The 15,262-nt window shown below is 34.5% G+C and overlaps 1 protein-coding gene and 1 non-coding gene across 18 annotated transcripts in view, besides 1 other annotated feature; both read right to left on the reverse strand.

Moving 5' to 3' along the window:
- The window catches only part of DMD (dystrophin), a 2,220,167-nt gene that overhangs the window by 1,453,932 nt on the left and 750,973 nt on the right, over positions 1-15,262 (reverse strand). For all 17 annotated transcript variants that reach the window (XM_006724469.4, NM_000109.4, XM_011545467.2 and 14 more), the window contains 2 exon segments: positions 592-693; positions 377-484 (listed from right to left, as the gene is read on the reverse strand). In XM_006724469.4, coding sequence (XP_006724532.1) covers positions 377-484; positions 592-693 — 210 coding nt within the window.
- Positions 9,428-10,055: an enhancer, noted in NCBI's record as "OCT4-NANOG hESC enhancer chrX:32600698-32601325 (GRCh37/hg19 assembly coordinates)". NCBI's record gives its function as "activates a minimal SCP1, AML or CMV promoter by ChIP-STARR-seq in naive H9 embryonic stem cells {active_cell/tissue: H9 hESC(naive)}" and the evidence as "EXISTENCE:reporter gene assay evidence [ECO:0000049][PMID:30033119]".
- Positions 10,503-10,599, reverse strand: MIR3915 (microRNA 3915). The gene has a single exon (NR_037478.1). It is a non-coding gene; the product is annotated as a microRNA 3915 (primary transcript).

The following is a 15,262-nucleotide window of genomic DNA, read 5'->3' on the forward strand; positions in this document are numbered from 1 at the left end:
AGGATAACCGTCGCTTGTAACTCTCACATATTATTCTGAGAATCAACGTCAGTCTATTTTTTTAGAACTATGCTGCTTAGAACTTTATGAAAGGCTCACAGACATTTCTTAGTATTACTTTATTAATTTTAATTGAAGTCTTATTCTGGTATGCTATGTTTTATCAAGAGTACAACTTTGAAAAACAAAGTTGAAAATCCACCTATAGTTTTTTCCCACTTTAATTCAGAAAAGTAGCAATATAACATCTTTGAATAATCTATGATCCAAGCAAAAATAAACATTTAATATTCAATAGCATAGAAGAGACTAAATAATAGTGATAATATACAGTACTGGGTTTTTATAAGACCATTGAAAGCTAGAAAGTACATACGGCCAGTTTTTGAAGACTTGATAACATTTCATTTTGATCTTTAAAGCCAGTTGTGTGAATCTTGTTCACTGCATCTTCTTTTTCTGAAAGCCATGCACTAAAAAGGCACTGCAAGACATTAAAGAATTCCAAGGAATAAATAAACATAAATCTTTACTTTTCCAATTTAATATCCCCCCGTGTCTTTTACAGCTAGTTTCTCACACATGACACACCTGTTCTTCAGTAAGACGTTGCCATTTGAGAAGGATGTCTTGTAAAAGAACCCAGCGGTCTTCTGTCCATCTACAGATGTTTGCCCATCGATCTCCCAATACCTGGAGAAGAGACAATCAAGCACAGCATCAGCAAACAATTGGTAACTACGTTTTATTAAAAATGGCATGAATAATTTGCCAAAGTATCTCAGTCTCCTATGTACGCTAGAAGTTGGAAGGGACACTCTTTCTGATCTGCTTACATTTAAATAAGTGGTGTGACTGTCATTTGTCTTTATCTCACCAAGTCTTGTACCTTTCATAGAAAAGCAAAGAGACAAGCAATATGAAGTGGTTATTATACCACTATATAAAATGGCTCCATAGCAAATGTAAGATAACAAAGACATACATATAGAGAGGATTTTGCAGTGAGAACAAGTAAAAGGTGTATTTTCCTTAGGTTTGAAAATACACCCTAAAGAATAAAAGTCTAACTACTAAATAGAATGCCTCAAAAGACTCTTAATTGAAACAATCTTGCATAATGAGAATTGCCTACCATTTGGATTGTAGAAGAAAATTCTTAGTAACTTAAATTCTATTACTATGTAGATTTTTCAATTTTCTCAATTATTACAAAAGTATTAAAATTTTCTGTTTCTAAACTACTCTAGTGAGAAAACTAACAATCTCTGAGTAAAAACTACTATATCATTAACATGTCACTAATGTCTAAGAACACACACTATTTTAATATGTAACATAAACCAACTATCAATGATTTTTGGAAGGAAAACAAATATTGTGATGCTTTCTATGCAAAGGAAGCATTTCAAAATGGCAGTTAGCTCAACCTCATTATGATGCACTTTATAGCCTGAATTTTCAACTTTTTGTAACTTTTTCATATAAATAAGAAACTTATTTTCTCATATATATATTGGACCTTTAAAGCTAGAAATCATAAAATATTGACGTGCTTTATTTTATATAGAATTAGAGTTAGAAAAATGTTTATAACTCATATTTTTGAAAAATCTACTCAGTGTCTAAGGTCTCATAATTTCTATGTTACTTTATACTACATATGTGTATTAACCCACCTAGAGGATATTAACACATGATTTAAACAATGCAAATGAAATTAGCATCATGAAAATAATCCACCTATTTTTTTTTTTTTTGTAGACAGAGTTTTGCTCCTGTCACCCAGGCTGGAGTGCAATGGCACTATCTCAGCTCACTGCAACCTCCACCTCCTGGATTCAGGGAATTCTCCTGCCTCAGCCTCCCCAGTAGCTGAGATTACAGGCATCCACCACCATGTCTGGCTAATTTTTGTATTTTTAGTAGACACGGGGTTTCGCCATCTTGGCCAGGCTGCTCTCGAACTCCTGACCTCAGGTGATCCACCTGCCTCAGCCTCCCAAAGTGATGGGATTACAGGCATGAGCCACTGCACCTGGCCCTAATCCACCTATTTCTAAGTGACTAGGAGAGTCACGTTTCTTAAATTGTTTAATCTATCACCACTTAAAAAAAAATACACGCATGGGTAAACAGAAGGCAGTCAACATTTTCCTACAGTATTAACATAATCATGTACTTATATGCAGCTCAATCATAAGTGAGTTTTCAGTTTTTCTTCATAAATATCAATGTTATTGCTTTCAGCATAATGTAACTGTTAATTTTTTGTAGTTTCACTTTCTACTCAACTTATTTTGAATTATGTTTACAATAAAAGCCATAGCGCTCAAACAGTGATGCGAGATACCCACAGGAAATGTGCGAGCTTAAATCAATGAATTTAGTCACTTCAACCATCTAATTATTACGAAGCAGTATATATAGGTTTTTTCTAAAACATACTTGCATTTTTTTAGCTAACTTCCTAGTGACCCTGTCAGTGCATGTCAGGTAAAATGGCACGTAACAAAATGGTTAATAGATTAGTTGTGGGAGAAAAAAGCTTCAAATGGAGAAAATCTTATCTCTTAAGTATAAACTACACCATCTACCTGACGTGATGATGCAGATCTACAAAGTCAAAATGTGGGAAATTTATTGTAGCCCATCAACTCCAGTGAAGAAGACAGTCAAGGGAAGAAGGGACAAACTCAAGCTATAGCATCATATTCATAAACAAAAAAGACTTTCAAGTATATATAGCATCTTCTCTCTAGTGCTACAAGACATATAGTATCCACTGAAGCAGCATTTTAAGCTTGTAACCCCATAGGTGGAAATGTATAATTTATTAATTTTAGTGGGAATACAAATCCAAATAAAGATCCCCTATTCCAGGTTGTATAACATTTTCAAATTTATTGAAATTCTGAGATGTACTAATGGGATGCATTTAATATTGCAGTTTTGTTCACTGTATGAGTCACAAAAAACTAATAGAGTAGTTCTCCTTTATCCATAGGGGATATGCTTCAAAATCCTCAGGTGGATGCCTAAAACTGCAGGTAGTACAAAACCCTATATATAGTATTTATGAATTTATTTTTCTTTCTTCGCAATTTCACGGATAGACTTGCTCTTACCACAGATTTTGAGCAACCCCAGCATGCGATTTTTTTCTTGCCTTATTAAGTTGGGAACCTTTTCACATAAAGAAAACCCTTCACAGTTTTTCTTTGGCATATTTGAACTGCCACCATAACTACTCTTGCACTTTGGGGCCATGACTAAGTAAAACTAGGGTGACTTGAACACAAGCACTGCGATACCATGACAGTGTTTCTAAGAACCTAGACAGGTACTGAGTAATGGGCGGGTAACATTGACAGCATGAAGACGCTGGACAAAGGGGTGATTCAGTCCTGGGTGAGACAGAGGTGGGATAGCACAAGATTTCATTATGCTACTCAAAACAGCATGCAATTTAAAATTTATGAATTGTTTATTTCTGGAATTTTTCATTTAATATTTTCTGACTGTGGTTGACTGCCAGTAATTGAAGCCAAGGAGAGCAAAACCATGGATGAGGGAGGGAGGGAGGGAGGGAGGGAGGGATTGCTGTAATTAAACACTCTTTTAGGTACATAGGCAACCTATTTAACATAACTATTTAAAAAATGCCACTTAAAGTGTTCTTTATATCCAAATAATGGAGCAAGTTTATGATTCAGCTAATATCTAGGTTACAGTTAATGACAGCCATCAATGCATTCATTCATTGATCATGAATTTATTATATAACAAATATGTACCAAATATCTGGATATGCCAAATATTAAGAGAAGATGTTACAGGCTCAATTGTGTCCCATGAAATCCATGTTGAAGCCCTATGCCCCACCTACTACATCGGAATGTGCCCATATTTGGAGATAGAGCCTATAAATAGACCATTAAGTTACAATGAGTCTATTAGGGTTACTCTAGTCCAATATGATGGGTATCCTTATGAGAAGAGGAAATTTGGACACAGCAAAACACCAGGGATATGTGCAACACAGAGGAGAGACCACGTGAGGATACAGGAACAAGGCATTCATCTGCAATCCAAGGAGAGAGGCCTCACAAGAGACCAATCCTTGCCAGTACCTTGGTCTTGAACTTCTGGCCCCCAGAATGGTGAGAAAGTGTTTGTATTGTTTAAGCCACCAGTCCATGTTATTTTTTAATGATAGCCCTCACAAAGGAGTAATACAAAAGACAATTAAGATAGATGGATTCTTTTTCAAGAAATACTTGGCTAAATGTCTGTCGAATAATAATACCAACCCGTTAAAGAATTGCAAATGTTAAACAAGAGTATGTATGGGAAAGTATTATTAATTTGAAACAAGTTATTTAAGAGTTGGTCGTTGTTTACAATTTGCTTGATCATGGTTCTTACATCAAATCTAAGAACTGCCAAGGGTCATCTATTTTACTGTATTCACTGTAGAAAGGCACCCATTAAATCTTTACGAATAAATGTTTAGTCTTCAAGTATATTCTTTAAAGGTTTCCAACACAAGACAGCATGAACACATATCCTTTAGTAACATATTCTATTGCTTAAACCTATCTTACTCTTAGAAAATACTCAATGAATTGAATCTAAGTCACTTCTGTAGCAAGGCAGGCATAGTGCTTTCCACTGATCTCAGTGTAAGCGGAAAAGTGAATTAGAAATTACTTGCTCATACGCTGTAAACATCTGCCCATACATTTTTGTGATGCCATATGCACAAGTATAAATAGATAATACACGAAGTGCTTTAAATTTATGGATTTACCTATTTATTGCTTAGCAATATTGGCCTTAATTTGAATTACAAAGAATGAAGCAAAGCAATTGGAAGACTATATCCCTCAGCTCTGGAATCACTCAAAGATGCTGGTTCCTATCATTGCCTGAATGGCTATAACAAAATTGTTAGACAAGTGTAAGAAATTGGATAAAATGGGGCTAATACATATATTTTTTAAAGAACCACTGTATTAGGATTAGAAACCTCTTCTCTAGAGAAAAAAAAAATATGTAACTTCAACTCTGTTTCTCTGAGTTTCTATTTACGTATAGGAATCCCTTGAGCTTTTAGCAATAATGCATATTTTTATAGAGCTAAACATTCTACACATAAATGTAAAACCAATGAATTACAAAGTCTCACAAAATGGTAAAAGAAGTTAATTTTTATTTATATTCTCATTTTGTCTCAGCAGTAAGTGAAGCTAAAGGTCAGCTCACTTCGTCTAACATTTTCATGGACTAAATCACAACTCCATTATCGTCCATGCTCAGATCCACAACGGGGAGGATTTTTTCCTCCCATTTAATTCACATGTCATATTGTTGTACGTGCCAAGGACATTTCTCATCTGAATTCCTTTGTTTGGTTGAGTTGCTATTTCAATTCAAAAGTGAAAAATGGCTACTAAAAGAACATTTGGATAAAGGTAACTGAGGAAAATCTGACAAGCCTGGGAGGTAAATCTTAAGTATGGTGACCCTTGAATTTACTGGAGCCAGGGATAGAATATGAAACCTAAACTGTGCCCATCAGTATTGGCGTTAAGAGATAGAGTGTTCCCAGGCGTATATCCACTAAGGCGGAAACAATTATGTGCCATGGACCACACAATGCATCAGCAACGGGGCTTTATGAAAGAGGGAGGCAGAAAACAACCCATCTTATTTTATTGCAGGTTAAGACCCTATAATACACTTCTCTGCTAAATGAATTTTATGTGTAATGAGCCCTCTGAAAATCCCTTATTTCTTGATTTTTCTCTTACTTTATCAACAACTATGCAGTTAAAACGTATAAGCAACTTACTCTTACTGATGTTGAAATGGAAATCACATCAAAAACCATTGAAAAAAACAAAAATCCATTATGAGGCAGAAATGTGGCAGAGTCCTACTGAATAGTGTTTAGCCAAGGGTATGGCTTGGTTCTCAGTTTTACACATTTCTACAAACTGAACTGAAGCACCATACTATAAAATGGTGTACCTTATATCTTCACTGTATAACATATGGTACAGGGCGGATAAACCTATTTTGATGAGTTATGAAACAACTACTGGAAGTTTTTTCAAAAGTATAATTCTTACTTCTATTTAAATGATCCTGTAATAATCTCCTGTCTGAACTCAAGGAATTTTTAGCTGTCACTTCCAAAGGGGCAGGTTACAGATGAGGAAACTGACAGATAGGTTAAGTAACTTGTCTGAGGTCACAGAAGCCACAGTACTGAGTGTCTGGGATTTGACCTCAGATCCATTTGGCTACAAGTTCATGCTCGTTCATAATGGTATTCATTCAGTAGGGCATTCATTATAAAAGATATGCCTTCTAATTTGTGCTACACAACCTACAGTGAGATATCCAGATGCCGAATCCCTTTGGAGTCTTTTCATATTTTGTTTTAGCAGAAGTTTGACTAGATTTAACATTTAATCTAATCTGCTTCACAAGGATGTGAAGCTTAATGTTATAATTTGATTCAAAAACATTTGACACTGTAACTCTGTATTTGTTTAATCATAAAACGTCAGCAAATACTTGCACTTCCAGATTAAGAACATGTGGCCTTTGCAGGACTTATTTTTAAAAGGTAAGTATGACTGATTTGTTCATTAAATTCTGCCTTTGCAATTGTGCTGAAAGTGTAGTGAGATTTTAACACGAAGAAGCATGTTCTTCTCTACGCTATTTCAGTCAGTTTCCTATATTATTTATTTGTGTGAGTATACAAAGTGCTAATGAATAAATCTGGAAAAGCCTTTTGTTGTTGTCACTGCTGTTATTCTTTGCAGGATATTATTTAATGTCTTTTTTTTTTTTTTTTGGCAGCTTAATAAACTCTGTACTCTCCAGCTCCCACCAGTCTGTTCAATTGGGATACCAGAAAATAAAGAGCAGGAGTTCTAAGGAGCATTCCAGCGTAACAGTGTTCCTTCCAGCATTCATCACATTCCCAGGCATTCCTTGGTAGCTTGAGGTTTCCTCTTCCTTATCGTTTTATACCTCGCAGACTCTGAGCTCCTTGAGGTGGGCTCCTTACCTTTGAGGTTAATGTCTTGCACAAATATCCCAAAACTGAATACTACTACTGTCGTTATCAATAGGTGGCTTTCCCCACCCAACTTTTGTCTTAGAACCATCTTTTTTGGATCTTTCAATCTGCTAATCATTACATAAAGTATAAACTTCCTGCATTCCCACTTCAGTTCTACTGTTGCCCAACTTTGTAATATCTGTGAACAAACTCAATCTTGCTGTGCTTTAGTTTTCTCACCAGTGAAATAGAGATAATAGTACAGACTCTCCTAGACAGGTAACTGCTAGGGTCAGATAGATCAATAAATGTGAAAGTGCTCTTAAATCTGTGATGAATTATTGAGATGCTTGTGATAGTAAGGATTTAGAGCTCAGTCGATAAAAAAATCAGCCTTTATTCCAGATGTGATAAATCTGGAGCATGATAGAATTTTAATATAGAACACAGTGAAACATTTTAGAAGGACAATTAATGATAATTTTTTTTGCATTTTTTTCTATACTTGATAAAGCTTATGTTTTATACAAGAATTGAAAATTTTTACCTTTACAATTTTAAACAACAGGGCCATATTCCAATAGGTATCCTTTTTTTCTTTTTCTTTGAGACAGAGTCTTTCTCTGTCCCCTAGGCTGGAGAGCAGTGGCGCGATCTCGGCTCACTGCAACCTCCACCACCCAAGTTCAAGGGATTCTTGTGCCTCAGTTTCCCAAGTAGCTGGGATTACAGGTGTGAGACACCACACCTGGCTCTTTTTTGTATTTTAGTAGAGATGGGGTTTCACCATGTTGGCTGGTCTCATCTCAAACTCCTGACCTCAAGTGATCTGCCCGCCTCGGCCTCGCAAAGTGCTGGGATTGCAGGCGTGAGCCACTGAGCACGGGCTCCAAAAGGTATCTTATTTGAAAGCAAGTGCATAGAAGATAAATATCCCTCTATGTCTCATGCCAACTCTTGACATCACAACTTTTCATCCACAAGAAATCACAAATTCTAACGTACATACCTAATAAAATGCATAAGATAATGTAGGTGTAACAGAATAGGTAGTAATGGGGACTGTGGCTAAATGAAGAGCCTGTGCTAGAGAAAACAGGGCAACTTGACTCCTGCTCTGGTTACTATGTAGAAAAACAGACTAAGGATCATCAGATCATTTGCTTTCTCTAGAGAGGTTAGAAATTCTTAGTTCATGTCACATTTTTTTCAATTTCAAACAATGGTAGCTAATAAACTACTATTAAATACCATAGGGACTAAATAGAACTTTATCTAAATACATCTGTAATTTTAGATGCAATAGACCAATTCCTAGAAAGACACAAATGATTCGAGCTGACTCCAAAACGGAAAATCTGGAAAAATGTAATGTTGAAATTCCAATTAAAAATGGACATTTTTATGTGTATTAAATACATAAAAATTTAATTTTAAAATTTCCCATTTGCAAATTCCAGTTATGAAGCCAGTTACCAAGCCTGCATAATCAGGTACTTAAACCTAGCAAGCATATTACAAGAAAGGAAAATAACAGGCCAATCACTTTCATGGACGTAAAGGAAAAACTATGAATCAAAGAAAATCTAGCAATACACAAAAAAGATTATACGTCTTATCCAGGTTTAGTTTATTACAGGAAGAAAGGCTTTTTTAGCATTAGAAAACTAAGTCATGTGATTTGACATATAGCAGAATAAAGAAGAAAAATACGACCATCTCAAATGATTCTGGAAAAATATATGATAAAATTTGGCATCCGGTAGTGATAAAACCTCTTAGAATATTAAGAACAGAAGGTATCTACAACAAACCTACAGGAAAGATCATACTTAATGATTATTTATTAAAGTTCTTCCCTCTGAGACTTAAAATGAGAAATAAATATCCACAATACTCCCATTGTACTAGAGTATTTATACAGTACAATATGTCAGGGAAAATTAATGACATGAAAAATAATTGGAAAGGGAGAAAGAAAACTGTCATTACTCAAAAACAACCTATATATGTACATCTGAATAATACTACAGATAATGTATTCAAATTATTAAGTAAATGTAGCATGGTACCTGGATACAAGACCAAGAAAAAAAATCAACTGTATTTCTTTATATCAGCACAAATAGAAAATGAAATTTCAAAAATATATTCATAACAGCAAAAATATAAAAACCCAAGAAATAAATCTCAGAGAAAGTTTAAGAGCCTTTACTTTAAAAACTATAAAACATTATTGAGAGAAAATAAAGACCTAACTAAATGAAAGGATTGAAAGACTTTACATAATAAAAATGTTGATTCTGTACAAGTTGATCCAGAGAATAGATGAAATCCAATTAAAACCACAGCAGATTCTTTTTGGGGGCAGGGTTCACAAGCTGTTCTTAAAATTCATATGGAGATCGAAATGGCCAAAAGCAGTCAAGATAATCTTTAAAAAGGAAGAAAATAAAATGGCTTTTACTGACCAACTGACCAAAACAAACTTAATGTGACTAAACTCTAGACAGGCTTTTATTTGACTATAGGCTCCTGACCTCTCTTTTCTTAGAGCGCTTACTTTAGGGAAACTTGCAACCAAAAACATATTCTCTGCCTCTTTGAGATGTAAATCTTCTACAATCCGGGAATATCTTTCTCAAGGACCTAGGAGCCATCTCTTTGAAATGTAATTGTTAATGATAGCACGCCTATCTCCCAGTCTCTGTGGGACAGTAGGAGCCTAACTTCATTAAGTGCCAATTAACAATCACAGATTGCCTAATCACCATCCTAACCCCCTAATATCTTCCAGTATTTTTCTACTAGCTCTCCTCAGTGCTTAAATTCTCTCCTGTCTTTCTTTCAGTAGAAATGATTTCCATCTCTCTCTCCTATGGCAATAGTCTTGATCCATAATTCAGTAGTCTTGAATAAAGTCTTTCTTGCCTGTTTGTCTGGTGCATTTTTTCTTTTACAATATTACCAGATACAGGCTGGGCCTGGTAGCTCACGCCTGCAATCCCAACACTTCGGCAGGCCGAGGCTGGCAGATCACCTGAGGTCAGGAGTTCAAGACCAACCTGACCAACATGGTGAAACCCTGTCTCTACTCAAAATACAAAAAAAATTAGCCAGGCATGATGGTGGGCACCTGCAAACCCAGCTATTCAGGAGGTTGAGGCAGGAGAATTGCTTGAACCAGGGAGGCGGATGTTGCATTGAGCTGAGATCTTGCCACTGCACTCCAGCCTGGGTAGAAACAGCGAAACTCCATCTCAAAAAAATATTACCATATATTAAAACTTGTCATAATGCTATAGTAATTAAAACAATGTGGAATTAGCATGAGGACAGGCAAGTAGAGAAATAAAACTGATTAGAGTCCATAAACTGATCCATGCACGTATAGGCATTTTATTTCTAATATTTTCGTCAAAGATGACACCACAGAATATTGAGGAAAGGATGGTCTTATTGAAAATCTTTGCAATAAGACCATCTTTTCCTCAATATTCTACAGTGCCAACTTGTTGTTTCAGTTGGATCTATATGGGAAAAAATGGACATTCATCCCTTCCTCATACCTGTAATAATAGGTGGATTGTAATACGAAAGGTAAAACAAACAGTTCCTATATAGCAACCCAGGACCATAGCTTCAGAATTTTAAAGTAGAGAGTTTTATTTTTAAACTGAGGACAAAAGTACACTAAACATAACAGAAAATATTGAAGTGAACTATGTTAAATTTAAACTTCTGTTTATGAAGAGATATATCATTACGGAGTGAAAAGGCAAGGTACCCATTCAAAAAGAAAAATGTAATATAAACAGCAAAGAATACCCAGAATATATATATTTTAAACTAAAATAAATCAGTAAGAGAAATATAGAAAATCCAGTAGAAAAACAGGCATTTCAGAGAAGAGTTCATTTAAATGGCCAATAACAACTGAAATAGTATTCCGCCTCACTGGTCATCAGTATATACAAATGAAAAATGAGAGATGACATTATAAAGTCACCAGAAAGGCTCAAATTAAAAAGTTTAACAAACAAGTATTCAAGAAGATATGAAGCAGTTTGTACTTTCATTTACTACTGGTGAGAATATGAATTTATACAACTTTGGAAAACCCTTTGTTAATATCTTGAAAGCTAAATATGCATATACCCAATGATTAAGAAATGCTATTCTTAGGTAAATACCTAATACAAAAGTTTACATATATACACAAAAATATACGTACAATTTATGTTGATAGATGAATTATTTGTAATGCTTCCGAACTGGAAACAACCCCAATTTTCTGAACAGAATATGTAAAATGTGGTATATTCATACAAAGTAATTCTATCCAGCGATGAAAATTAATAAAGTAATGCTATATGCAACATAGTGAATCTCACAAATATAGTATCCAGTGAAAAAAGCCAGTTAAAAAACTGCATATATAAAAGTTTCATTTACATCAAGTTAAAAATATAGCAAGACTAACCTGCAGCATTATAACTCAAGATACATGTTACCTTTGAGGAGATGGGAAGAGTTTATGATACCATAGGGCTTGATGGAGGTTTCCTGGTTGCTGGTAACATACTATCTTTTTCTGGATGTGGAATCATAGTATGTTACTTCTGTAATAAGTCTTTAAGCTATAATTATAACTTATGTCCTTTGCTTGATACTTCAATTTAAAAAGTACCATAAAGTTTGCATTTTTTTTTCAGAACCATCAACAGATAAACAGATAACAGGTTATATATACATAATGCAATGTTATTTGGCCATAAAAAGGAATGAAATATAGCTATTTGCAACAACATAAATGGAACTGGAGGTCATTATGTTAAATAAGCAGGCACAGAAAGACAAATACCACATGTTCTCATTCACATGTGGGAGCTAAAAAATTGGATCTCATAGAGCTAGAGATTAGAATGATAGATACTGGAGACTGGGAAGAGTGTGTGGATGGAATGAAGAGAGGTTGTTTAATGGGTACATACGCTTAGATAGAAGGAATAAGTTCTAATGTTCGATAGCAGAGTAGGAAGACTATATAATTATATACAACAGTGTAACAAAATATCACATGTACTCTATAAGTATGTACAAATATTATGTATCAATAAACTTAAAAATTTTTTGTAAATGTATTAACACTTGCATTCATAAAGAATATTATTGGCCGGGTGGCCGGGCGTGGTGGCTCACGCCTGTAATCCCAGCACTTTGGGAGGCCGAGGCTGGCGGATCACGAGGTCAGGAGATCAAGACCAACCTGGCTAACACAGTGAAACCCATCTCTACAGAAAATACAAAAAATTAGCCAGGCGTGGTGGCAGGCGCCTGCAGTCCCAGCTACTCGGGAGTCTGAGGTAGGAGAATGGCATGAACCCGGGAGGCAGAGCTTACAGTGAGCCGAGATCGCGCCACTGCACTCCAGCCTGGGTGACAGAGCAGGACTCCGTCTCAAAAAAAAAAAAAAAAAAAAAAAAAAAAAAAGAATATTATTGTTCCAGCATACTTGCTTATATTTCCCCTGTAATTTTGTATGGTGGGTATTATGATCACTGTTATCTTTGAGTTTCATTTGATAATTTTTATCATGAGAGAATTTATTGTTCAACTCATAAATTATAAAGTCAGAATAGAAAACAGATTGAGTAATCCAGACATTGTGTTCTTTCAAATCTACCTAACACCCTATTGGCCAAATGTATTACAACAGACCGTGTATTAACATAAATTGAAATCTAGCGTTAACTGTATACTTACAGCACATTGGCTTTGGATGTTCAAATTTCATTAGAATATTCAACATTTATTTATACTTGATACAATGTGCAGTTGAAAAAACAATGCACATATCAAAGCTGATCAAAACATACTCAAAAGTTTTCTAATAACTGAATCATGTGCCATTTTATATTTAAGTAAATAAAATAAAAAATCCAGTTCCTCAAGCATACCAGTCACAATTCAAGTGCTCAAAATAGCCAAAGGTGTATAGCAACTTCCTTACTGAACAGTGTCGTTCTAGAAAAGAAAAAAATTTTATATACTAATGCAATCGAGTGTGACAGGTGTTAATATATATATACTGCTTATATAAACTATATACATATATAAACCATTCTCTTCTAGAACAGTGTTGTTCTAGAAGAGAAAAATATTTATGTACTAATGCAATTGAGTGGGACAGGTGCTAAAATAAATAAATATATATGTTTATATTATATATATTTGTACTTGTAAATTTAACTCATTCATGCAAATGCTATATCTATTCATATATATATGAATAGATATTGCATTTTATACAGATAGATAGTATTTGCATGAATGAGTTAAATTTACAGGTACGAATACATTACTGTGTTACATAGGTTTCTGTATTCCCCCGTTGCTGATTAGTAAACCAAAACTGAAAAAAATCACATAATTTTCACAAGGCCACATAGCAAATTTCTACTATGAATTTGAGAGATTGGGAGAAATCTCAGGTTGAGTTGTCACACATCTGAATACCAGTGTCAGCCTTGCCACCTGCAAGCTATATGAACTTGGATTTAACTTCATTATGCATTGGCTTTCTCATTTGTGATATAGGGTTGGCATTACATACAAAGCATGTAAAACTCCTGAAAAATAATAATCTAATAATTATAATTATTGCTTCTTGGGCAACAAATGTTGATGCTTAGCTTTGTGGATTATTTCCATCACATTTAAAGTTTTTTTTAAATGCATTTAATTCACCAAATATAAAATTAGGAACTAGAGCGAAACATCAAAATGTTTCAACCATATTCCTCTTCATAAATAACTTCTATTTCTTAATTTGATAGGGTCTAACATTCTATAAAATTTTCTTTCTCATACTATCCCGAAGATATGTACTATAAAAATTTCAGTTACCTAACTGACATTTAGGTGATGAGAGAAAAATCTGACTTTATCGTCTTTCTGAACAACTACCTTTCACAGTATAGCATTTTCTTTCCAAGTGGCTTTGTTATTTTAACATTCTCTTTGTAACTGAGATATAGCACATTCCCTTTGTAACCTGTGTGATACTCATGTTACACAAGTTAAAACTATTAACGACACTAACAGCAATGTCCAAAGAGATGTTACCATTAAATGTCTGTCATTCTTATTGTCTACTTATCCAGATTTGTCACCTTTAAAAATTATCACTGTTGGTCAAAATAATTGGCAGAATGTAGTATTTGACTTCTTTATATTTTGCCATTATATTCAGATTGTTTTTTCTTATGAAAGTAATTTTGAGAATCATGCTTTTTAAAGCTGAAGTTCTCTACAGAATGAGGGAGAATTATGCTTCTACTAGATAAGATTGGGCAGTATTTCCTTTTATTTTCTTGCACTCCACCTGTATTGGAAGGGACATTGGAGGCTATCAAGTCTAACTTCCCACTCAGTATGTCACCTCTTTTAAAACATACTTGAACATGAGATTCCAGTTTGTGTTAAATATTATTAATGAAGAACAGCTCACCACTTTCCACAGCTCTTATCGCATTGTAAGAATGCTCTGGGCTGATGATGATAATAATAGTAACTAATATTATTATTGCTTACTATATTTCAGTGATTTTTAAATGCTTTAGCTTCTCAACTACCCTTTTACCCTTTACAGATATCTGATAATGTAGGTTCTAATACAATCTTCATATTAAAGATGGGGAAACTAAAGCCAAGGATGGTTAAGTGACTTGCCCAAAGGTATACTGTAGATAAGGAACAGAGCAGGAAGGGTCTATTTCTAGAGTTTCTCCTCTTAATTACCTTACAACAAAAAGCTCTCCCTTTTAAGTCAAAAAAATCTTTCTTGGAATTATATCCAACCGTCTGTTCATAGGTTCATTCAGTTATCTTACAAGAATTACTGATTACTTGTATCTGACAATGCAGGCAAGAATGTGTAAGACACATCTCATGTAATTTAGATTCTAATAAAAGAGTAAAGCACATTAATATTAACTGCAAAAGTATATGATCGGTGCCCAAACAGACACAATTAGGGTACAGACATGGCACAAAGAGGGAGTAGTCATCACTAGGTAGAGTGGCCAATTTCATGGAGGAAAACTTGAAATGAGTTTTCTATACATAGATGAAATTATCAAAGCAGATCTTATGAAGCAGAGTCGTCTGTTTAAA

Source organism: Homo sapiens, chromosome X (assembly GCF_000001405.40).
Source record: "Homo sapiens chromosome X, GRCh38.p14 Primary Assembly".
Taxonomy (NCBI): Eukaryota; Metazoa; Chordata; class Mammalia; order Primates; family Hominidae; genus Homo; species Homo sapiens.